The sequence below is a fragment of the Homo sapiens genome, chromosome X (genome assembly GCF_000001405.40).
Source record: "Homo sapiens chromosome X, GRCh38.p14 Primary Assembly".
Lineage (NCBI taxonomy): Eukaryota > Metazoa > Chordata > Mammalia > Primates > Hominidae > Homo > Homo sapiens.
Window position 1 is genome coordinate 155019293 of NC_000023.11, and position 26416 is coordinate 155045708.

The 26416-nt window shown below is 38.9% G+C and overlaps 2 protein-coding genes across 2 annotated transcripts in view, besides 3 other annotated features; one reads left to right on the top strand and one right to left on the bottom strand.

The window, feature by feature from the left end:
* The window catches only part of F8 (coagulation factor VIII), a 186932-nt gene extending 183501 nt beyond the window's left edge, over nt 1-3431 (bottom strand). Inside the window, exon 1 of the mRNA NM_000132.4 lies at nt 3118-3431. Coding sequence (NP_000123.1) covers nt 3118-3260 — 143 coding nt within the window. The 5' untranslated portion in view covers nt 3261-3431. The remainder of the gene's footprint in view (nt 1-3117) is intronic.
* Nucleotides 7373-7462: a silencer, noted in NCBI's record as "silent region_21120". NCBI's record gives its function as "represses an Ori minimal core promoter by ATAC-STARR-seq in GM12878 lymphoblastoid cells {active_cell/tissue: GM12878}" and the evidence as "EXISTENCE:reporter gene assay evidence [ECO:0000049][PMID:35858748]".
* Nucleotides 7552-26416, top strand: part of FUNDC2 (FUN14 domain containing 2) — a 33461-nt gene continuing 14596 nt past the window's right edge. The window contains exons 1-2 of the mRNA NM_023934.4: nt 7552-7779; nt 14111-14261. Coding sequence (NP_076423.2) covers nt 7647-7779; nt 14111-14261 — 284 coding nt within the window. The 5' untranslated portion in view covers nt 7552-7646. The remainder of the gene's footprint in view (nt 7780-14110; nt 14262-26416) is intronic.
* Nucleotides 7733-8052: a silencer, noted in NCBI's record as "silent region_21121". NCBI's record gives its function as "represses an Ori minimal core promoter by ATAC-STARR-seq in GM12878 lymphoblastoid cells {active_cell/tissue: GM12878}" and the evidence as "EXISTENCE:reporter gene assay evidence [ECO:0000049][PMID:35858748]".
* Nucleotides 8230-9133: an enhancer, noted in NCBI's record as "H3K27ac hESC enhancer chrX:154255797-154256700 (GRCh37/hg19 assembly coordinates)". NCBI's record gives its function as "activates a minimal SCP1, AML or CMV promoter by ChIP-STARR-seq in naive H9 embryonic stem cells {active_cell/tissue: H9 hESC(naive)}" and the evidence as "EXISTENCE:reporter gene assay evidence [ECO:0000049][PMID:30033119]".

A 26416-nucleotide genomic window follows, 5' to 3' on the forward strand; every position in this document is an offset into this window, starting at 1 on the left:
GTTCACTTTCATTGTTATTATTTAACATTTGCTCTTGTTTTCTAATAAATTCAATAAGATAAGAAAATGAAATAACTGGCTATAAATATTGGAAATGAGCTAAAATCTGTCTCATTTAACTTATGATATGATTCAATACTCACAGAGACTTTAGGGTAAAATTACTAGAATTAATAGGCAAATTTGGTAAGGTAGCTAGATTTAAGATGAATATACAATGGCTGGGTGCGGTGGCTCAAACCTGTAATCCTAGCTCTTTGGGAGGCTGAGGTGGGGGGAATGCTTGAGCTCAGGAGTTGAAAACCAGCCTGGGTAACATGGCAAAAACCCATCTCTAAAAAATATACAAAAATTTTCCGGGCATGGTGGCCTGCTCCTGTAGTCCCAGCTACTTGGGGGGCTGATATACAGGAGAATTGCTTGAATCCAGGAGGTTGAGGCTGCAGTAAGGTGAGATCACCCCACTGCACTCCAGCCTGGGTGACAAAATGAGACCCAGGCTCAAAAGAAAAAGCTGAAAATACACAAACCAATAGCTTATCTCTATTTGGTACTAAGCACTCATAAATGGAAATAGGAGAAAACTATCTTATTAACAATAGCATCACACTTATAAAATACACAGAGATAAATGTAATAAGAAAAATATTTAAATTTATTACATTAATAAAATTAAGGTCTGAGTTTAATGAAATTGCAGTTAGAATCACAACAGGGCTTGGATCTTTTTAATTTGAAAAATATCTTAACAGTTTTATGTGGAAGAATAAAGTGTCTAAGAATAGCTAAGAAAGGTACAAAAAGAATAGTGAGGATTGCTTTCACCCACCAGATATCAGAAGATATCATAGGCTCACTGTAATCAAATCACTATGGTACTGGCATAGCAAGATAATAGTAGATTAGTGAAACAGCCTAATGAATCCAGAAATATATGCTAATATATATGAGAACTTTATATGATGAATGTGTTGATTCAAATCAGTGGCAAAAGGTGCCATCACAATAGGCTATTGATCTGGATGGAAATAAAACTAGACAAATCCCTCTCTCATGCCATATGACAAAAGTAATTAGCAGATAATTGAAGCAATGCATATAAAAAGCGAAACAGTAAACATCTTGCAAGAAAATCTGGGAGATTACACGTACAATCTTGAGGTGTGGGAAACATTTTTAACCAACCTTGCCGACTCTGAAGATATGAAAGAAAAGATATCTCTGATTATAAAAATTAAAAACTGTTTTGGTAAAAGTTATAAGAAAGTCAACAGACAAACAATAGATCTTGGGGAAAACTGCAATATACATGACAAAGAGTTAATATTTGTAATAATAAAAGGGTTCTCATAATTTTTTTAAATGAAAGAGTCCAAAGAATAATGGGCAAATCATATGACTAATTAAATCCCCCAAATAAATCCAATAGCCAACAAGCATTTAAAAAGATGCTCAACTTATTAGAAATAAAAATAACACAATGAAAGTAATGATGCAATATCACTCTACACCTGTAAAATTGGCAAATTTTAAAAACAGGATAAAACTTATCGCTATGTGAATGCAGAGAGAAGGCCATTTTCATACTTCGATGGTAGAAATGTTTGAAAAGTTCTGACCTCTTTGGAAATTAAAACTTAGAAGGAAACATTCCCTTCGTTCCATTAATATTCCTCTTGCAAGTTTGTTCAACAGAAGTAAAAGCACCAGTATGTAATGATATAGGATATAGTAGCCAAAAACTGGAATAAAGTGAACATATTGACTAAATTGTGATACAGCCATACCATAGAATCTTATATAGCCAATAAAAATAATGAATTAAAGCTATACCAATTGACTTAGAGTTCTAGTACGTGTTAATGAGTGAGAAATGTGTGTATAATGTCCCAATTTTATAAAACAAATAATGTCCAAGAAAACCTTTGTGTGTGTGTATGTGTATGTGAATATATATTATCATACTGGGGTTACCTAGCTGAGGTGGGGGAGAAGGGGACTGATGTGGAAAGAGGGTGGGGAGCCAAACAGAAAGAACCAAAAAGAATATAAAGTATGTACAACATGACCACATTTAATGTTTACACAGCCACAATCTATGTATTATATTTAAATCTTTATAATACACATTTAAAGAAGACAAAAAAATAAAATAAATGATTTCAGCATTCAACTCAAGAAGCAAAAATCTAACAACAAAATGAACCAAAGGAAATTAGAAGGAAGGAATAAATCAATGAAAGTAGAAGCAGAAACTGATGCAACAGAAAGAAAAAAGAGATTGATAAATCAAACCAAAAGAAAATTCTTGACAAGACCAATAAAATCAAGAAAACTCCTGGAAATATTATTTTTAAAAGAGAGGAAGAGAACATATACAACATAAGGAATGAAAAAGAAAATATAACTACAGACACAGAACAGTTTAACAAAATCACAGGAGACTCTTACATAACTTGATACCAATACATTATCAAATCTAGGGACAGTAGATTGCTTTCTATGAAAGTATAGACCAAAATATACCAATATTTACTGAAGAAGAGGTAGAAAAATCTGAATCAACTGATGACCATAGACAATATTGATAAAGTTATTTAATACTCTGCCTAAATGCACCAGAACCCCCAAAACACGAAAAGCTTCTGAACTCAAGGCTCATATTATCCTTACACCCAAAGTAGGAAAAGATATTATAAAAACACACATTGCATGTACACACAAGAGAACCAGACATGAAACTTGTGTGTGATATTGATTGGATTTCATTGCCTTGATTCTCTCTATGGAAGCTTGGGCAGGCAGAGGGAAGTTTTGTCTTTGTCCCTTCACCCTCCCTCTACTCCAGTCTCTAGATTCTGGAGGAGCAGCATATGACGAAGAGAAGCAATGGACAAAACAGAACAAAATATCAACAAATAGGTCAGACCTATGAAAAGAATTGGCAGTTAGCATTTCTGCTAATAACACAGATGTGTGCACACCTTACCCAGAAATGTTTCTTTGGGGCCCAGGTAGCATCACAACCATCCTAACCCGATGTCTGCACCTTCCTCCAAGCAGACTTACATCCCCACAATCCTGGCCCCGATCAGACCCTACAGGACATGCCTTTACCTTGCGTCCACAGGCAGCTCACCGAGATCACTTTGCATATAGTCCCATGACAGTTCCACTGCACCCAGGTAGTATCTTCTGGTGGCACTAAAGCAGAATCGCAAAAGGCACAGAAAGAAGCAGGTGGAGAGCTCTATTTGCATGACTTATTGCTACAAATGTTCAACTGGAGAAGCAAAAGGTTAATTCTTCTCTAAAATATCTTTAGCTCCCAGGAGGGGAAAAAAGTAAAATTTCTGATTTAATGAAAAGTCCCAATTTCTTTGCAGAGCATTTTAAGGAACTTTACCCACTGGATGTGCTCAGCACTAAGCAGTAACCGATAGGATTGCTTCCTTTTTATCAGTGGGAAGCAGCCACAGGAAGAACTGAAGTAGCAAAAGGGAGGCTGCTAAACTTAACCCATTCACTTCTGAGAGCAGTAGGGGCATAAGTCTGCTTTAATCAGAACCTTTAAGGAAAGGAGGAGAGGGATGGAGAAGTCAAAGTGAACAGGAGCTTTAATTTGTGCTCCTATTCCTAGCCTACTCCAACCCTCTTCCTGAGTGGCAGCAGCAAGAGAAGTTCTGGATGTTGTCGAAGATTCTAGAATTCACTTGCACTAGCAAGAGTAACCAGCAACCTGTTAGTCTCTCTGCTTTTGCCCTTGCCCCTCACACTGCTGCCAGTATGAGGAATTTATAGTTTTTAAAACTGTAGTTTTACATATAACATGAGGTTAGGCAACTATTGTTTTAAAAACTATAATTTATAGTTATAATTTAAAACTATAAAGCGAGTCCTGTCACTCCTCTTCTCAGAATCCTCCAATGGCTTCTGACCTCCATCAGGGTAAAACCCTACATCTTTACCATGGCCTAGGTCCTAGAGCATCCCACATGGTCTGCATGCCCTTTCTCCTGACCTCTGTAGTCTCATCTCACTCTGGTTATACTGGTCTCCTTACTCTTCCCTAAAATATCAAGCACACTCATGCCCCTGGACCTCAACACTTGCTATTTCTTTTACCCAAAACACCTTTCCCCCAGATTTCCACGTAGTTCCACTCCCACAACTCCTTCACATTTCAGCTCCAATCTTCCCTGTTGAATGAGGTTTAAATATGGAACACCACATTTATGTTGTAAGCTCTTTACCCCCACCTGCATCACTGATATCCCTCTTGGCTTCATTTTTCTCAATAGCACTCATAACCACCTGGCATTTATTCATTTATTTATTTTGTTTTGTTTTTAACCTAACACTTTTCCAGGCTGTTTACATTTGGCCCAGGTATAGGATATATCTCTTTACATCAGAATGTAGCCATGGTGAGCTCAAACACCCTACTCAGGTTAATGTTTATTAGGGAGAGTGAGGGCCCCTGCAGGGGCCTCAAAGTGTAAGAGATTATGAGAAGAAACTTGATCAGGGTTGCTATAAAAATGTTATCATTGAGCTCAGTTCTGCACAAACAAGAATGTGTTAGGGAGCAATTGGTATATTGTCGACTGGTTTGGAAACAGGCAGCAAGAAGCCCCTTTGATAAACACTCCTCTCTGACAGGTACAAGGATGCAGAGATGACAGCTGACACTATATGCCAGGAACTGTTCTAGGTGCTTTTAAATACAGGTACTATTCTTACCTTCATTTTATGGGTGATGAAACTGAAGCACGGAGAGGTTAGGCAACTTCTCCATGGCCACACAGCTTGTGAGTGGTAGCATTCAAACCCATGTACTCTGGCTCCAGAAGTCATGCTCCTAACCACTATGCTATACTTCTATGCCTCAGAAATGAAGAAATCCCAGTTCCCAACCCCCTGGGAATGACAGTCCAATGGAGGAGACAGAAAAGTAGACAGTTACAGTACAGGGTGATAAATTCACTGCCAGGTGCTACACATAGGCTATCTGATTTAATCCTCATGACAACACCGCAAAGTGGATACAGATAAAGTAACTGAGGTACAGAGAGGTTAAATGGCTTGCCTACAGCCACATAACTACCCATTTGTCCTAGACAGATATTGTCCTAGGCACTGGGTACACATTGATGAAAAATATAAGCAACTGAAAGAGGGATGATAAGCAATAATTACAATACATGAGTACATTATACAGTATGTTAGAAGGTAAAATAAGTGCTGTGCAAAAAAGAGAAGTGGGGTAAGGGGGAGTAAGGGTGGACCAGGTTGCAATTTTAAAGGAGGTTAGTCATGGAAAGTTTCACTAAGGTTGCATTTCAGCAAAGGGACATTGACTTCTACACTGAGGGCAATGGGGAGACACGGCCGGGTTGTGAGTAGAGGAGGGTGGTGATCAGAATTATCTTTTAGGCTGATCTTTCTGATCACTGTAGATAAAACAAACTCTAGCAGGATAAGGGTAGAAGGAGGGTGGCCTGTTAACCGGGGGTGAGAAATGGTGGCGGCTTGGGCTATGATGGTACCACTGGAGAGGGTGAAAAATGGCTGGATTCATTGTGAGGGTAACGTTTGTGGGAACTGCTGATGAATTTTGGATCTGTGGGCTTTGAGAAGGAAAAATTTGGAACACCAAGTTTTTTGGAATAAAGTTGACTAACTGGGATGGGGATGACTGCATGAGTAGCTTAGGGGCGGGGCACACTGTTAAAGGGCTCCTCAGGCACTGCAGGCATAGAAGCTCCTTTCTTTCCCAGTGCTTCTCTTATAGCGATTACAATGTTTTAAAAATGTGTCTTCCAGACAAATACAGTACAATCCAACATGTTTGAGGTTCTACAGTTAACAGATTGTATAATTAATAATCTGGGTGGGAATGTTAATCAGGAATGAAATACAATTTAAAAATTAACAAAGTAATGAGTCAGAGGCTATATTGATAGAAGCACTTTTTAAGGAATAGCATTCCCTGGCCCAAGGGCTTAGTTGATTGAAAATTTTATCTATTATTGCTAAATTTTAAATCAAAATATGGCCGGGCACGGTGGCTCACACCTGTAATCCCAGCACTTTGGGAGGCTGAGGCGGGCAGATCACGAGGTCAGGAGATCTAGACCATCCTAGCTAACAAGATGAAACTCCTCCTCTACTAAAAATACAAAAAATTAGCCGGGCATGGTGGCACGTGCCTGTAGTCCCAGCTACTTGGGAGGCTGAGGCAGGAGAATCGCTTGAACCCGGGAGGTGGAGCTTGCAGTGAGCCGAGATCGCGCCACTGCACTCCAGCCTGGGCAACAAGAGCGAGACTCTGTCTCAAAAATAAAATAAATAAATAAATAAATAAATAATCAAAATAGACCCCATTACCAAATTTTCATGTTTTCAAGGATTCTCTAAAACCTACAATATTATCAATTACATATTCACAAATAATTACTGAATACAATATGGTATGTGGTAAAGTACAAAGGAGTACTGTGGCCATTTGTGATAAATAGAAATCAAATTGGAAATCTTCATAGATAACGTATTTTTTCTTTTTTTTTTGGAGACGCAGTCTCACTCTGTCGCCCAGGCTGGAGTGCAGTGTCGCGATCTCGGCTCACTGCAAGCTCCGCCTCCCGGGTTCACGCCATTCTCCTGCCTCAGCCTCCCGAGTAGCTGGGACTACAGGCGGCCGCCACCATGCCCGGCTAATTTTTTGTATTTTTAGTAGAGACGGGGTTTCACCATGTTAGCCAGGATGGCCTCGATCTCCTGACCGCGTGATCCGCCCGCCTCGGCCTCCGAAACTGCTGAAATTACAGGCGTGAGCCACCGCGCCCGGCCAGATAAGGTATATTTTTATTCCTTTTATTTTTACTCAACTCCTATGGTGCCACAAAATCCTATATTAAGCAGTATAATTGAAAAGAAAAAGAAAACAATAGCACAATGATTATAAAGAAAATAGCCTGAGTTAACTTCATTTGTGTCACTCCTAAAGCAGTGGATCAGATGTCAATGTTTATTATCATTCACTAATTACATTTATGAATAATTTTTAAAAGTAAAGGAAAAGACTGGCTGTTTTAACTAACATAATAGAAACTGTTGCTGGATTTTCTGTTGAAGGTATATTTTGAAGTGAGTTTTATTAAGTATAACTCGCATGTAAAATTCAAAAGAAAAATTAAATACATAAATAAAATGTGTCTTCCTCCACTAAAAGAGTAGGACACATCGCAGAAGCCGATAAATATTTGTTCAATGTTTACATGAACAAACACGGTCACTCAGCCGTCTTTATTTTCAGTGAGTCATAGGTAAAATATTCTTCACCAGGCGAGGATTGAGTCGCAGTCGCGTCAGGAACTCGCCTCCAGGTACTGAGCGAGCGAGCCCCGACGGCCGCGGTGGGTGGAGGGGGGAAAGTGGGGGAGAGTGGGGCGGGAGTAGAGGGAGAGCGAGGGAGGGAGCCTCACCCCCGGGACGCTTTCTGCGCACGCGCATCTCGGTGCATCTGTTGGGCGGGACCGCGGGGCCTGTGACACCGCACGCTGAGCTCTGTGATGTAGCCGCTTGCGGAGACTGCAAGCAGCCGCGGCGCGCCCGGCCCTCCCTCTTCCGCTGCCGCCGTGGGAATGGAAACATCTGCCCCACGTGCCGGAAGCCAAGTGGTGGCGACAACTGCGCGCCACTCCGCGGCCTACCGCGCAGATCCTCTACGTGTGTCCTCGCGAGACAAGCTCACCGAAATGGCCGCGTCCAGTCAAGGTAAGGGCGGGCGCGCGCGCGGCCGGCGCCGCGGGGAGCCGCCTTCCTGGGCTCCGGAAGGGGAAGGGCTCCGCGCCCGCCAGTCGCGACCGAGCTCCCCGGGGAGTCCAAGCGGCGCGGGGACGGGGAGGGCGCTCGGGGATCGCCCCTGGCTCAGCCGCTCCCAGGGTCCGGCCAAGGTCACGCGCGTGTCTGGGGCCTAACCACCCTGGGGTGTCGTCTCCAGTGGAGCTCACCCAGCCTTCCGGCGCCGCCCCCGGCGCAGAAGCCCGAAGACATTCTGTCCCCGTTCTCGGAAGCGGTCTGGCTTCTTTGTCCCTTTGGACGTTCATCTCAAATGCCTCGTGGCGTCATTCTGTGTACAAGGCACCTCCCCAACTGCTTTATTGTTGGTTTTGAAAAACTAGCACATATGGGATGGTACTTAGGAATAGCCTTCTGTTTAGTCGGCATAGTCAAAGATTCCGTGTAATTCGCAGTGGAGCACGTCTTTAAGTTATGCGTCTTACCCTATTTTGAATGTTTAGGTTGTATTTAATTTAGTACTGACTCACGGGATCCCATTGCTAAACAGAGCCATCATTGAAAACTCAATCATATAAACGTAAAATTACGTAAATTATGTTAAAAACAAAGGCAGTGAAAATACTAAAAACTCATCACTTTTATTATTTACCATGTTTTATTGTTACTTTACTTTTGAGGTTATTTATACATCTATTGTATCTTTGTGGAGGAGATACTATACTATGGTGCTCTACTGTGCGTCTCTTCCCATCTCTGGGTTCAGTAGTTTCACAATTCAGTAATGTCATGCTCACGATGAATGAATACGCAATGGAAATTGGCTACACTACAAATCAGCCCTTGCCTAAAGCCGACTGTTAAGCATTTCACCAGCACGCCGCTAAATTTTAGATGACTCTGGGAAGGTGGAATGTGCAATGTGATAATTATGTATTTTCCTGCAGAGCAGACTGCTCTTATAGACTTTTATAAGAGCAGACTGCTCTTATAGACTTTTATAAGAGCAGACTGCTCTTATAGGTTGATCAGGTATTTGCACCTAGGAAATTGTTGTGAGAAATTTTGAGGTTAAGATGAGTTTCAATTGTTATCACAGTGATGATCACATAATAACTGTGATCATTGATTTTGTGGGCTCATAAACGAAGCTATTGGCTGACTTTTGTCTGTCATAGTGCTTAGCAGTGTTTGACCAATGACTGACCAAATATCTCGCATTTAATCTACCTTCCCCCCTACTCCCTTTTTTAGGGACTAGATCTGTCATTCAGGCTACAGCACAGTGGCACAATCATAGCTCACTGCAGCCCCAGTGGAGCCACCTGTTGATCTAAGGGGCTTGGTCAAATTACGTTAAAACTGTAATGTTTTGTTGTTACATTAGAAAAATAAATTATTTAACTACTTGAGAGGCCATGGAGTACCCAGGTACTCAGACATCCATATTTTGTTCTGCTAAATGGGCGTCTGTGATGTATCCTGAATGAATTCTTGAATTATATTTTGTGTATGGTTTAAGGTAGAGGTTGAGAGTAGTTTTTTTTGAAACACAAATATATAGTAGTTCTAACATCATTTGTTGTTTCCTTCATTGAGTTACCTTGGTGCTAAGTTATTAAAAATCAAATGACTATATGTGTGGATCTATTTCTGGATTCTGGATTCTCTTCCATTGCTATATTTGGGTATCCTTGGGTCAGTTTGACAGTGTTGAATGTCATTGCTTTATAAGCCTTGAAATTAAGATAGTTGTATATTATACTGTAGCTTTATAATGAGCCTTGAAATTCCTTGAACCCTCCTCTTTCCCTTGCCCGCCTCCGCCCCCAGGATTATTGTGGCAGTTTGTATTTTCCTGATTGCAGCAATATTTTCCATTCCTTATGGTCTTTTTCCTAGTGACTTTGACACTCCTCCCACCCAGGGGTGGGATCTATATTCCCTCTTCATGAATCTGGATGGGAGTTTGTGACTGACTGCCTGTTCCTACAGAATGCAGTGGAAGTTAACACTGCATTTGCTCTCTCCCTTTCTTGGGACTTTCACCTCCTGAACTCAGCTCCTATGCTGTAAGGAAGCCTAGACTGACTCACATAGAGTAGCAGCCTATCTATCTGTGTGAGTGTAGAGTCTTCAGACCCAGCCTGTAAGTCTTCTGGCTAAAGCCTCAGACATGAAACAAAGACAAACCACAGTGCTGTGGCTGAATTCCTGATCCACAAAATCTGAGAGCATAATATATGATTGTTTTGCTTCATGAAGTTTTGGAGTAATTTGTAGTACAGCCGAAGTAACTGGAACACTGCTGGGTTTTTTTGTATCTTCATATGAATTTTAGAACCAGTTTGTCAATTACATAAAAACCTACTTTTTTGCCGGGCGTGGTGGCTCACTCCTGTAATCCCAGCACTTTGGGAGGCTGAGGCAGGCGGATCACCTGAGGTCGGGAGTTTGAGATCAGCCTGACCAACATGGAGAAACCCTGTCTCTACTAAAAATACAAAAAATTAGCCAGGCGTGGTGGTGCATGCCTGTAATCCCAGCTACTTGGGAGGCTGAGGCAGGAGAATCACTTGAACCTGGGAGGAGGAGGTTGTGGTGAGCCGAGATTGTCATTGCACTCCAGCCTGGGCAAAAAGAGCAAAACTCTATCTCAAAAAAAAAAAAAAAAAGAAAAAAGAAAAAACCTACTTTTTAATTGAGATTGTATTGAATATATAGATCAATATATGGAGAGAATGAACATCTTAAAAATATTGAGTCTTGCAAAACATAAACAGTATATCACTGTTATTTTAGGTCATCTTCAATTTCTTGGCAGTGTTTTGTAGTTTGCAGTGTTTTCTAGTTTACAGTGAACAGGTCTTGTGCATCTTTCATTGAATTTACTACAACATAATTTTTGCAATTAAAATTATTTTGTTTTCCAATTCATCATTTCTAATACACAAAAATTCAAATGACTTTTTAATATTGGTCTTATAATGTGTGACCTTGCTTCTGGTACCTTTTTGTAGATTTTTCTGGGTTTTCTATATACACCGTTATATTATCTGCCAATGAAGACAGAATTATTGTTGTACCTCCTTTCTAATCTCTTTGACTTTTATTTCTTTTCTTTTGTTGCACTGGCTAGGAACTCCAGTACAGTGCTGGGCGAGGTGGCTCACACTTGTAATCCCAGCACTTTGGGAGGCTAAGGAGGGAGGATCACTTGGGGCCAGGAGTTCCAGACCAGCCTAGGCAACAAAGTGAGACCTCCTGTCTACAAAAAAAAAAAAAAAAAAAAAAAAATCAGTTGGTCATAGTGGTGCACAGCTGTAGTCCAGCTACTGGGGAGGCTGAGGTGGGAGGATTGCTTGAGCCCAGAAGTTTGAAGTTGCAGTAATCTGTGATAGTGCCACTGCACTCCAATGTGGGTGATAGAGTGAGACCCTGTCTCAAAACAAAACAAAAAACAGTTGAATAGATTTTAGGGAAAGAAAAGTGTTCCATATTTCACCATTAAGTATGATGTTAGTTGTATATTTTTCATAGATGTCCTATATCAGATTGAAGAAATCCCTTTCTATTCCTATTTTCTACTTTTTTTTTTTTTTTTTTTGAGATGGAGTTTCGCTCTTGTTGCCCAGGAAAATGGGCAGTGGTCTGATCTCGGCTCACTGCAACCTCCGCCTCCCAGGTTCAAGCAATTCTCCCATCTCAGCCTCCTGAGTAGCTGGGATTACAGGCGCCTGCCACTATGCCCGGCTAATTTTTGGTATTTTTAGTAGAGACGGGGTTTTACCATGTTGGCCAGGCTGGTCTCGAACTCCTGACCTCAGGTGATCCACCCGCCTCGGCCTCCCAAAGTGCTTGGATTATAGGCATGAGCCACCACGCCCAGCCCCTATTTTCTACTTTTTATTCTGATTTTTTTCTTTGATTTTAAAGTATAAAATTTCTGTAATTATTATTTTTTTACAGTAAGTATTCATTTAGATTTATCCACCTATTTGCCCATTCCAGTGTCTCATTCCTTTCTGCATTTCCATATTTCCATGTGGCATCATTTCTTGTCGGCCTGAATAACTTTTGTGTACCTCTTTGAATATTACTTCTATCCCATTCTTTCTAATCTTCTGGAACTCCAATTACATATATGTTTAATCTTTTGAGCAGTTTTTGATCATTGTTATTTGCTTACTTCAGCATCTTGATCATCACTGGTTCTGTTTCTGTTTCTGTTTCTTTTTCTTTTTTCTTTTTGGGACTGAGTCTCGCTGTGTCACCCATGCTGGAGTGCAGTGGTGCGATCCTTGGCTCACTGCAACCTTCGCTACCCGCGTTCAAGTGATTTTCCTGTCCCAGCCTCCCGAGTAGCTGGGACTACAGGCACATGCCACCACGCCCAGCTAATTTTTGTATTTTTAGTAGAAACAGGGTTTCACCATGTTGGCCAGGCTGGTCTTGAACTCCAGACTTCAAGTGATCCGTCCCCCAGGCTTTCCAAAGTGCTGGGATACAGGCGTGAGCCACCGTGCCTGGCCTGCTTCTATTTCTTTTATTTAAACAAATTTTGTTTCCTTTATATGGCTTTGCCTTTGCATGGGTAGTAGTCATTTTCTATTGTTTGTTACATTATGTGTGAAAAGATTGTACACACTCCATGCCAGATGAAGTTGATCATTTGAGGTCAATTTTACAGTAAACAGCTTTGAATAGTACATTGCTGACATTTCATATCAGACATTTCTTAGTGCGGTGTGTTTCCAGGGAAACAGGGCTGGGTATAGTAGGGGAGCCTGACATTATCTTCCCACAGAGAAAGGGATTGACATTTTGTTAAGTCTTTCTCCATGCTTGGGCAAATCATTTAACTTTGGAACCTTCATTTCATTTTTTTTTTTTTTCTGAGACGGAGTTTCACTCTTGTTGCCCAGGCTGGAGTGAAGTGGCGCGATCTCGGCTCACTGCCACCTCCACCTCCCCGGTTCCAGTGATTCTCCTGCCTCAGCCTCCCAAGTAGCTGTGATTACAGGCGCATGCCACCATGCCCAGCTAATTTTTGTAGTTTTAGTAGAGACGAGGTTTCACCATGTTGGCCAGGCTGGCCTCAAACTCCTGACCTCAGGTGATCTGCCCACCTTGGCCTCCCAAGGTGTTGGGATTACAGGCGTGAGCCACCACGCCTGGTGCCTTCTTTTTTTTTTTTTTTTTTTTTTTGAGATGGAGTCTCATTCTTGTTGCGCAGGCTAGAGTGCAGTGGTGCGATCTTGGCTCACCGCAACCTCTGCCCCTCAGGTTCAAGTGATTCTCCTCCCGAGTAGCTAGGATTACAGGCATGTGCCACCACCCCCGGCTAATTTTGTATTTTTAGTAGAGATGGGGTTTTTCCATGCTGGTCAGGTTGGTCTTGAACTCCCGACCTCAGGTGATCCACCTGCCTCCGGCCTCCCAAAGTGCTGGGATTACAGGTGTGAGCCACCATGCCTGGCCTTCATTTCTTAATTATAAAATTGAGTTAATAAGTAGTACCTACCTTATTCTGTGGATTAATTAGATGTACATGATTAATGTTTAGCACATTGCCTGGTAAATAGTAAGAGCTCAATTAAACATTACCCTCTCATCTTCATTATCACTGGAGATCCACGTAGTACTTAGAAAATTTGTGGATTACTGAATAGCATTGAGCTACTTCTGAAGAGAAGGGGCAAATTTGTTTCATTTGGGATGCATTACTGGCAGTTTTTTATAGGTCTTTTTGGATTTATTTATTTATTTGAGATGGAGTCTTGCTCTGTTGCCCAGGCTGGAGTGCAGCGGCACTATCTCGGCTCACTGCAACCTTTGCTTCCTGGGTTCAAGCAATTCTTTTGCCTTAGCCTCCTGAGTAGCTGGGATTACAGGTGCCTGCCACCACGCCTGGCTAATTTTTGTATTTGTAGTAGAGATGGGGTTTTGCCATTTTGGCCAGACTGGTTTCGATCTCCTGACCTCAGGTGATTCGCCCACCTCGGCCTCCCAAAGTGCTGGGATTACAGGCGTGAGCCACCGCGCCCAGCCTTTTTTGTTATTTTTAAATTTGAGAGGACAAACTAGAGGACTAATTTGAGATTTTCTAGGTTTTTCCCTGTAATATAGACATTAGTATTTGCTGATTTTAGTCTGATTTTCCAAAATTGCAACTTAGAATAAATTTACTATTTAAAATAGAATATTTGGAGGTTTCTTATTACATTTATGTCTGTTTCTTTAAATATCTCAATCTAGTTAGGTATAAAAGTAAATATTTTCTTATTTAACGTATTACTTCTTGTAGGAAACTTTGAGGGAAATTTTGAGTCACTGGACCTTGCGGAATTTGCTAAGAAGCAGCCATGGTGGCGTAAGCTGTTCGGGCAGGAATCTGGACCTTCAGCAGAAAAGTATAGCGTGGCAACCCAGCTGTTCATTGGAGGTGTCACTGGATGGTAAGTGATGTGAAAGATGTCCACTGTCTTTTGTGCATGATTTAGTATTGCAGTTATAGGTACCATCATCTCCTTTAACCAGTGAAAACACATTGGCTTCTGTGAAATTGGTCACTTAATGTGGAGCATGTATCTAAACATCATCTTAAAGTACCATTTAATGGTTACACATAATGATTGTTTCCTATATGCCAGGTTCTGTTTGAAGTATTTACATAGATATCTCATTTCCTTCTCACAACTCTGGAATTAGTACTGTTATTTTCTATCCTCATTTTATAGAAACTGAGGCTCAGAAAGGTTAGTTTGCCCAAGGCCACATAGCTGGTAACTGGTAGAATAAGGAGCTAACTACTTATTAGCTATGTCAGATGATAACTTAATGTGACACAGCTTATGGTTTCATTTGTAATAAATTCAAAAAGTAATAGCAAATTTCATAGGTGAATATTGAATCCATTAATCTCATAGACTCTTTACATTTGAAAAATTTTATAGCACCATATAGCAAATATAGAACAGCACATTTAACAGGTGTACATTTTAGCAAATACTTGGAGTGAACACCTATGTAACAACTGCTAAGGTTAAAAAAAACGTGGCTAGCGCCCTAGAAACTCGAGAGGTTATTAAGCAGTTATTTCATTGCTTTTCTTTGTAGTTTTAACACCAGTTATGTCACTAAATAACATACTGTGGTTTACCTGCTTTCCACCTTAAAGTAAATGCAATCAGTATGTATTCTTTTGAGTCTTGCTTTTTTCGCTCAACCTGATGTTTCATATATTCAACTACATTGTGTATAGTTGTAGTTTCTTCACTTTCACTTGTATTTTGAGTTCCATTATGTGAATATACCACAGTATATCCAGTTGATGACTGATATTGGAGTTGTTTCCATTTTTGGCTAATACTATGCTTATATGAGTATTAGATTTCCCAGTGTATATGTGCATACATTTCTGTAGGGTCTGTACCTAGAAATTGCTAGGTAATGGGTATAGGTATCTTCAGCTTCACTAAATAATGTCAAACCACCTTCCAAAACTGTTTTTAACAGTTTACAGTCCCAGCAAGGACCAAATGAACCTGTTGTTCTACATGGTGGCACTTGATTTTGCCAGGCTATTAAATTTTTAAAAAATTAGTTAATTTTTCCTTAGCGAGGTAATCAAGTTAAATCCAGACTATAAAAATTTTACCAGTCTGGTAGTTAGGTAGTAGTATTTCATGGTGGCTTCATTTACATTTCCCTGAGTAGGAGTGACATTGATCGACTTTTACGTATGTTTGTTGACCATTTGGATCTCCTCTTTCAGTTCCACTCTAGTTTTTTTCCTCTGAAGTTGTCATTCTTTCCCTTGTTAAGCTGTAAGAGTTCTTTATATATTCTGAATATTCTCAGTCCTTTGTTAGTTGTGTGTATTATAGATATTTTCACTCATTCTGTGGTTATCTTTTCGTTTTATGGTATCTTTTGATGAACTGAAGATCTTATTTTTAATATAGTCAATTTTATCAATCTTAACCTTAATGGTTAGTGATTTTTGTGGCTTATTTAAGTAATCTTTGCCTACCCCATGTTTCAGAACTTTTATTATTTGACCTTTCACATTTAGATTTATTATCCACCTGGAATTGTTATTGTGCTCAGTATGTGGTAGATTCCTTCTTTTCTTCCCCATGTGGAATACCCATTTGTCCCAACTTAATTTATTGTGAAAGCTATCCCTTTCCCCGCTGCTTTATGTGAGTGTGTGTGCGCATGCATATGTGTGTGTCTGCTATCTTGTTCTTTAGGAACATCTTGGCTATTTTCTTTATCTCTTAGTTTTTAAATTTAATAAATAGGTATATTATAAGTTGCACATATTTAAAGTATAAAATTTGATACATTTTTACATATGTACATGCCCATAAAACCATCACCACAGTCAAGATAATGAACATACCTATCACTTCAAAAGCTGCTTTGTACCTCTTTGTAATTCCACGCTCTTTCCTTCATGCCATCCTCCCGCCACTGATCTGCTTTCTATTACTATAGATTATGTTTTCTAGATTCTTTTTAGAAGTGGAATTACATAGTATATATTCTTTTTTGTCTGGCTTCTCTTATTCACCATAATAATATATTTTTTTGTTTTGAGACGGAGTCTTGCTCTGTTGCCCAGACTGGAGTGCAGTGGCACGATCTTGGCTCACCGCCTCCTGGGTTCAAGCAGTTCTCCTGCATCAGCCTTCACCATAATAATTTTGAGATAATCTGTGCTTTTCTGTTTATCAACAGTTCATTCCTTTTTATTGCTAAGTAGTACTCCATTGTATGGATGTACCACAATCTGTTTCTCCATCCACCTTTGATGGACATTTGAGTTTTTTTTTCACTTTTTAGCTGTTACAGATAAAACTTCAAGTTTGTATACAAGTGTACAAGTCTTTGTATGAACATATGCTTTCATTTCTTTTGGGTAAATATCTAGGAATAGTATGGCTGAGTCACGTAGTAAGTGAATGTTCTAAATTTACAAGTACCTGCCAGTTTTTAAAGTGCCTGTACCATCTTACATCTCCACCAGCAATGTGTGAGGGTTCCAGTTCCTCTGCATCCTTACTAACACTTGGTATTATCTTTTTGATTACGAACATCTTAGTGGGTATGAAGTTGTATCTCATTGTGGTTTGAATTTGCGTTTCTCTAATGACTAATGATGTTGAGCATTTTCACGGGCTTATTTTTTGCCATTCATATATCTTTGATGACTTATTTGTTCAAATCTTTTTCCACATATTTTTATTGGGTTGTTGGTTTTCTTTCACTGCTGAATCGTGAGAGTTCTTTAAATATTCTGGATAGAAGTCTTAGATATGTGATTTGCAAATATATTACTTCTCTGTAGCTTTTCATTATCTGAACTGTACCTTTCAAAGAGCAGAAGTTCTTAATCTTGAAGTGCAGCTCTTTTGTAGCTCCAGCTTTTGGTGTCATGTCTGAGAATATTTGCCTAATCCAGGGTCACCAAGATTTTCTCTCGCTTTTTCTAGATTGTATATAGGTTCGGATTTTATATTTAGTTCTGTGATCCATTTTGATTTACTTTTTGTATATAGTATAAGGTAGGAATCCAAGTTTTTTTTGCGTATGGGTATCTAGTTGTCCCCACATTTGTAAAAAAAAGACTGTCTTTTTCTCCACTGAATTGTCTTTACACCTATGTTGAAAATCAGTTGACTATATGTTTTTGAGCTCTTTGTACTGCCAAATTGATCTAGGTGCCATTATCATGCTGTTTTGATTACTGTAACTTAGGTAATGCAAGTCTTGAAATTTTGTTTTTCATCAAAGCTATTTTGAGTATTCTAGGTATTTAGCATTTCCATCTGAATTTTATCTTGTTTTTATACACTCCTCCATATGAATTTTAGAATTAGGTTGCTGCCAGTTTCTGCCAGACACCCGATGAGATTTTGACTGGGATTGCATTGATCCATAAACATTGGTGTATCTCTCCAATTTGTTTAGGTTTTCTTTAATTTCTCTCAGCAATGCTTTGTAGATCTTACACATCTTATATCAGATTTATTCCTAAGTATTTCATATTTTTGATACCATTATAAATGGTATTACTTTCAAAATTTCAAGTTGCCATTGTTCATTGCTTGTATAGTATATAGAAATGCAATAGTTTTCTTTGTATATTGATCTTGTATATTGTAGTCTTGCTAAAAGCCACTTACTAGTTGCAGAGTTCAGGGGTCCCCAAGACCACTGTCATGTTTGATAGTTCTCTAGGAGAATTCACAGAACTCAGAGCTGTTCCACTCAGGGTTATTTTTTTATTTTTTATTTTTTTAACAGAAAATGATACAGATTAACTCAGCCAAGGGAAGAGGCACATGGAATAGGGTATTGTGGAGTCTTTATATTTATATTTATTTATTTTTTTTGAGACATAGTCTCGCTCTCTCACCCAGGCTAGAGTGCAGTGGTGTGATCTTGGCTTATTGCAACCTCTGCCTCCCAGGTTCAAGCAATTCTCTCGCCTCAGCCTCCCAAGTAGCTAGGACTACAGGCGTGAACCATCACACCGGGCTAATTTTTGTATTTTTAGTAGAGTCAGGGTTTCACCATATTGTCCAGGCTGGTCTCAAACTCCTGACCTCAAATGATCTGCCTGCCTCAGCCTTCCAAAGTGCTGGGATTATAGGCGTGAGCCACCACACCCAGCTGAGTCTTTACATGTAAAGTAGGTTTCTTGTAGGTTCCATATAGGTGGTTGTTAATTTTTTAGAATCCAATTTGACAGTCTCTTCCTTTAAATTAGGGTGGTTAGACTATTTACATTTAAGTTTATTTTTAAAATTCTTTTAATTGACTAGTAAAAATTGTAGGCTGGGTGCAGTGGCTCACACCTTTAATACCAGCACTTTGGGAGGCCGAGGCAGGTGGATCATTTGAGCTCAGGAGTTTGAGACCAGCCTGGGCAGCATGGCGAAACCCCATCTCTACAAAAAATAGAAAAATTAGCCGGGCGTGGTGGTATGCGCCTGTAGTCCCAGCTACTTGGGAGGCTGAGGTGGGAGGATGGCTTGAACCTGGGAGGGGGAGGTTGTAGTGAGCCAAGATCATGCCACTGTACTCCATCCAGCATGGGTGACAGAATGAGACCCAGTCTCAAAAAGGAAACAAAACAGCAACACCAAAATTGTATTTATTTGTGGCGTACATGATGTTTTGATATATGTATACATTCTGGAATGGCTAAATCAAGCTATTTAACATGTATTACCTCACATACTTACCATGTTTTTGTGGTGAGAACACTTAAAACCTACTCTTATAGCAATTTTCAAATATATAATATGTTGTTATTAACTGTAGTCACCATGATATACAGTAGATATCCTAAACTTCTTCCTCCTAACTGGAATTTTTGTGTCCTTGACCAACATTTCCCCAACCGCCCCACCCCACAACCTTTGGTCACCACCATTCTCTGTTTCTATGAATTTGACTTTTTTTAGATTCCACATATAAGTGAGACCATTTGGTATTTGTCTTTCTGTGCCTGACTTATTTTACATAGCATAATGTCCTACAGGTTAATCCATGTTGTCACAAATATCAAGATTTCCTTTTTAAGGGTTGAACAGTATTCCATTATGTAATATACCACATTTTCATTATCCATCTGTTGATGGACACTTAAGTTGTCTCTATCTTGGATATTGTGAATAGTTGCAGTGAACACGGGAATGCAGATACCTCTTTAATGTACTGACTTCATATCCTTTGGCTGTATACCCAGTAGTGTGATTGCTGAATCATATGTTATTAGTTCTACTATTTTTAATTTATTGAGGAGTCTCCATACAGTTTTCCATAATGGCTCTACTAATTTACATTCCTACCAACAGTGTACAAAGATTTCCTTTTCTCTACATCCTCACCAACACTTGTTATCTCTTGTCTTTTTGATGATAGCCATCCTAACAGGTGTGAGGTGATAGCTCATTGTGGTTTGCATTTTCCTCATGATTAGTGATGTTGAGCATTTTTTTCATATACCTTATTTATTGGCCATTTGTATGTTTGTATGTCTTCTTTTGAGAAATGTCTATTCAGGTCCTTTGCCCATTTTTAAATCAGGTTGTATTTTTACAATTGAGTTGTTTAATCCCTTGTATATCTTTTATATTAATCTCTTATCAGATATATGCTTTGCAAATATTTTCTCCCATTCTTTAGGTTGTCTCTTCACTCTGTTGATTCCTTTGCTGTACAGAAGCTTTTTAGTTTGATGTAATCCCATTTGTCTATTTTTGCCTTTTGTTGCCTCTGCTTTTCGGGTCATATCCAAAAAATATTTGTGCAGACCAGTGTCATGGAGCTTTCTCCCTGTTTTCTTCTAACAGTTTTACAGTTTCAGGTCTTATATTTAAGTATTTAATCTGTTTCCAGTTGATTTTTGCAATGGTTTGAGATGAGGGTCTCTTTTGCATGTGGATAAACAGTTTGCTTAGGACCATTTTTTGAAGAGACTATCCTTTCCCTGTTGTGTGTTCTTGGCATCTTTGTCAAAAATCAGTTGACTGTAAATACGTGGATTTATTTCTGGGCTCTCTATTCTGATCCGTTGGTCTATGTGTTTGTTTTTAATGCCAGGACCATGTTGTTTTGGTTACTATAGCTTTGTAGTATATTTTGAGATCAGGTAGTATGATGATGCCTCCAACTTTGTTCTTTTTGCTGAAGATTGCTTTGGCTATTAGGGGTCTTTTGTACTTCCATGTGAATTTTAGGATTTTTTTTCCTCTTTCTGTGAAAAATGTCATTGGAATTTTGATGTGGATTGCATTGAATCTGTAGATTGCTTTGGGAGGTATGGAGATTTTAGCAATTTTAATTCTTCCCATTCATGAACATGGAATATCTTTCTGTTTATTTGTGTTGTCTTCAATTTCTTTCATCAGCCTTCTGTAGTTTTCAGTGTATGGACCTTTTGCCTTCTTGGCTAGATTTATTCATAAGTGTATATTTTTTGTAAGTGGGACGTTTGTTTTTGTTATTACTGGGTTCAAAATTACCATCTTGGTATTTAATCGTACATATATAACATATATACTGAGGTGAAATTCACATAACATAAAACTAACCATTTTAAAGTGAATAGTACAACTTAGTACATTCACAATATTGTACAACCACTATCTCTATATGGTTTTAAAATCCTTTTATCACCTCCAAATAAAACTGAGTACCCACTGAGCAGTTACTCCTAATTCTTCCTTCCTACAACTCCTGGCAACCACAGTCTGCTTTCTGTCCTTATGGATTGACCTATTCTGAATATTTCATATATATTGAATCATGCAATGGCTGAACTTTCGTGTTTGGCTTCTTTCACTTAGCATAATGCTTTTGAGGTTCATGCATGTTATAGTGTATATATATTGCTACTTCATTCCTTTTTATAGCTCAATAGGATTCCACTGTATGTATATGCCACAGTTTGTTCATCCAGACATCTGTTGGTGGACATCTGGGGTATTTCCACCTTTTAACTGTTGTGAATAATGCTGCTATGAACATTGGGTATAAGTATTTTTTCAATACCTATTTTTAGGTCTTCTATTTTTTTGTATATACCCAGGAGTGGAATTGTTGGATCATATGATAATTCTATGTTTACTTTTTTGAGGACCCACCTAACTTTTGAGCATCTTTTCATGTACTTCCTGGCCATTTGTATATCTTCTCCAGATAAATGTCAACTCAAGTCCTTTGCCCATTTTTTAATTGGGTTTATCTTTTTGTTATTGAGTTGTAAGAGTTCTTTATATGTTCTGGATTCTAGACCCTTACCAGACACGATTTGCAAATATTTTGTCCTGTTCTCTAACTTGTCTTTTTCACTGTTTTGATAATGTTCTTTGATACAAGAAAGTTTTTAATTTTGATGAAGTCCAATTTATTTTTAATTTTGATGAGGTCCAATTTATTTTTTTTGTTGCTTAGATCAAATATTTTCAATTCCATTTTCATAATTCTATTTTTATGGATATTTTCATAATTATGTCCTTTGTTGGCTTATTAGCTATAACTGTTTGTTGTGTAATTTTAGTGGTTGCTTTAGGGTTTATAGGAGACATCTTCTACTCGTAGTCTGCCTTCAAGAAATCTAACGCTTCATATATGATATAACAGTATGCTTCCATTTTCCCCTTCCCCCTTTGTTTTCATTGCTATAAATTTTACTTTTAAAATTATGTAAATTCATAATACATTCTTATTATTTTTGCATTAAATGTTGAATTTTTATAGTTTTTAATAACAAGAAGGAAGCCTTTCACATTTTACTCCATAGTTTCTATTTCTTGTGCTCTTCATGCCTTTGTGTGGATCCTGATTTCTATATGATATCATTTTCCCCTGCCTGAAAGACTTCCTTTAACATTTCTTATATTGCTGGTCTGCTGGGGATATTTTTTTTTTCAGGTTTTGTATCTGTGAAAAAGGTCTTTATTTCATTTCTGTTTTTGCAAGATCACTTAGTGTAGAATTCTAGATTGACAGGGTTGTTGCTTTTTTTTCAGTACATTAAAAATGTTATTTCATTGTCTTTTGGCTTTGTATTATTTTCTGTGAGAAATGTGTTCACTTCAGACTTTATTCCTCTGTACCTAATGCCTCTTTTTTCCCCCCTTCAGGCTCCTTTTAAGATTTCCTCTAGGTCGGGCATGGTGGCTCACGCCTGTAATCCCAGCACTTTGGGAGGCTGAGGCGGGTGGAACATGAGGTCAGGAGATCGAGACCATCCTGACTAACATGGTGAAACCCCGTCTCTACTAAAAAATACAAAAAATTAGCCAGTCGTGGTGGCGGGCGCCTGTAGTCCCAGCTACTCGGGAGGCTGAGGCAGGAGGATGGCGTGAACCCGGGAGGCAGAGCTTGCAGTGAGCCAAGATTGTGCCACTGCACTCTACCCTGGGCGACAGAGCGAGACTCCGTCTCAAAAAAAAAAAAAAAAAAGAAAAAAAAGAAAAAAAAGATTTCCTCTTTACCATTTGTTTTAAGCAGTTTGTTTATGTTGTACCTTGCTATAGTTTTCTTTTTCTATCTTTTTTTTTTTTTTTTTTTTTTTTTTTTTGAGATGGACTCTTTCTCTGTCACCCAGACTGGAATGCAGTGGCATGATCTCAGCTCACTGCAACCTCCACCTTCCAGGTTCAGGTGATTCTCGTGCCTCAGCCTGTGGAGTAGCTGGGATTACAGGTGTGCACCACCGCACCTGGCTAATTTTTGTATTTTTAGTAGAGATGGGGTTTCACCATGTTGGCCAGGCTGGTCTCGAACTCCTGACCTCAGGTGATCCTCCTGCCTCAGCCTCCCAAAGTGCTGCGATTACAGGTGTGAGCCACCATGCCTGGCCTTCTTTGTTTCTTTTGCTTAGATTTCATTGAGCTTTTTGGATCTGTGGGTTTATAGTTTTCACGAAGCTTGGAATATTTTCTGTTGTCCTTCAAATATTTTTTTCTGTCCTCCTTCAGTGATTCCAATTACACATTTATTAGGGTGTGTGAAGTTTTTCCACAGTTCATTAATACTGTTTACTTTTTAGAAACTTTATTTTGAGATAATTGTACATTCACATGCAGTTAGAAATAATCCATAGAGGTCTTATACCCATTCCCCAGTTCCCCCTATGGTAGCATCTTGTCTAACTATAGTTCAGTATCATAACCATTTTCATTTTTTTGTCTCTTTTCTGTTTCATTTTTGATAGTTTTTATTGCTATTTCATGAAGTTTATTAATCTTCTACAGTGTCTAAACTGCTATATTTTTCGTCTCGGACATTGTAGTTTTTATTTCTATAAGTTTGATTTGCATCTTTTTTTTTGAGACTTTCTTGTTCTGTTGCTTAGGCTGGAGTGCAGTGGCACAATCACAGCTCACTGCAACCTCTACCTCCTGGGCTCAAGAGATCCTCCCACCTCAGCCTCTTGAATAGTGGAACTGCAGGTGCATGCTACCGTGCCTGGCTAATTTAAAAAAGTTATTTTTAGAGAGATGGGGACTCACTATGTTGCCCAGGCTGGCCTTAAACACCTGGGCTCAAGCAATCCTCTTGCCTTGGCCTCCTAAAGTACTGGGATTACAGGCATGAGCCACTGTACCCAGCCAAGATTTGCATGTTTTTAAAAGAGCTTCCTTGCCTCTACTTATTATGTGCAATCTTTTCTCTAGCTTCTTGAACATATGGAATATAATTGTAATAACTTTTAATGCTTTTGTCTACTAATTTTTTCATCAGTATCATTTCTGGGTTTCTTTTAGTTTATTTTTTTTTGATCGTGGTATTTTTCTGCCTTGCAAGCCTGGTAGTTTTTAATTAGATGGCAGATATTATGAATTTTACTTCATTGGGTGCTAGATATTTTTTATTCTTATAAATGTGCTTGATTCTTGTTCTTGGATGCAGTTACTTAGAAATCACTTGATCTTTTTGGGTCTTGCTTTGTTATTAGGCTTTATTTAAAATGTGTGTTTTGTTTTAAAAAGAGAAAAAGCCAGGTGTTGTAAACAGTGCAACAATTTTTGTAACAGCAAAAATCTGTAACCATTCTAAATATGTCAGTTACTCTGATTATACTTTAGTAAGTCTGAACAGTGGAATGCTCTTAAAATGGACCCTTATCATTTATTTACTGGTCCTACCACCCTTCCAATTTCAGAGTCGCTTCAGAAATATACTGCCTGACATCTAACTTTTGTTTAAAAAAGATTAAAAGTCTTATGAGGTTCTCCATGCATTGTTGTATTTGTAATTCTTTCTCTTACTGAGCTGAAATGTAATAAGGGGAGAACAGTAGACAATGAGGGTAGTGAGGTAATGGGAGACAAGATGTTAAGTGTAAGGCTTTAACTTTCTCTCTTAGTGAGGAGGGAAGCTACTGGAAGGTTATGAGCAGAAGTGTACCTTGATCTTACATTTTAGAGCAGGGGTCAGCAAAGTTTTTCTGTAAAGAGCCCATATGGTAAATATTGTAGGCTTTATGGATCACACAATCTCTGTTGCAACTTGATTTACAAAGAGACATCTGGCAGGATTTGGCTCCCAGGCTGCGGTTTGTCGACCCCTGTTTTAGGACTGTATGAGCTGCTATATTGAGAATAGATTCTAGGGGGTGAAAGTGGAGGTAAGAAGTCCAGATGAGGAGCTGTAACAGTAACCTACATCAGAGATCATGGTATAGACCCAGCAGATAGAAAGTGAATACACAGAGCAAAGAGGTTCTAGGACTGAGCCTCAGAACAACCTAACATTCAGAAGTCAGAAAGAGGAGGACTCAGCAAAATTGTCTGATAAGGAATGGCCAGTGATATATGAGGAAAACCAAGAGAGAATGGTATTCCAGAGCAAAAAGATGTCAAGAAGGAGAGAGTACAATAGCAGAACAACAAATAACCTGATTTAAAAAATGGGGAAAAGACGTGAACAGACATTTCCCCAAAGAAGGCATAGAAATGGCCACCAGAGGTATATGAAAAGATGCTTAGCATCATCAATTATCAGGGAAATGCAAATTAAAAGCACAATGAGATATCAACTGGCACTTGTTAGAATGGCTGTTATCAAAAAGACAAGAGATAATTGTTGATGAGGGTGTGGAGAAAAAGGAACCCTAGTACACTGTTGGCGGGAATGTAGATTGTTACAACCATTATGGAAAACAGTATGGAGGTTCCTAAAGAAATTAAAATTAGAACTACCATGCGACCCAGCAATTCCTCTTCTGAGTATATACCCCAAGGAAATGAAATCACCACCTCATAAAGATATCTGCCCTCTCATGTTCAGTGCAGCATTAATTTATAGTAGCCAAGATATGGAAACATCCTAAGTGTCCATCAATGGATGAATGGATAGAGAAAATGTGTCTACAATGGGATACTATTTAGCCTTAAAAAAGGAGATTGTGCTGTTTGCCATAGCATAGATTTTGGAGGACATTATGCTAAGTGAAGTAAGCCAGACATAGAAAGACAAAATACTGCATGATCTCATATGTGTGGGGAAAAAGTCATATATACAGTTGTATAATATAATAAATATAAAGAAATAAAACTGGTTACCAGGGATAGGATGGGAGGAAATGGGAAGATGTGGGTCAAAGGATACAAAGTAGCAAATATGTAAGAGGAGCAAGTCGAGAGATCCAATGTACAGCATGAGGACTGCAGCTAATGCAATTGTATTGCCTTAGGGATTTCTGTGAATTAAGTGGATTTTAGCTGCTCTTATCACAAAAAAGTAACTATGTGAGATGATAGATATATTAATCTGATTCATTATAGTAACCACTTTACTTGTCTATATGTATCCCATAACATCATGTTGTAAACCTCAAATATACACAATAAAATACCTTTTTTAAAAAAAGGAGAGAGTAATCAACTGTGTCAAAAGCTGCTGTAGGTCAGATGAGATTAAAGCTGAGAAGTGAACACTAGCATTTGGTAAGGTCAAGATCAGTGGTAACCTTGATAGGAATGGTTTCATTGAAGTCATGGGACAAAAGCCTGAATGGTGTAGGTGTGAGAGAATATGGACACAGGACAAAAGAGACGGCCTCAAAGTAGTTTTGCTG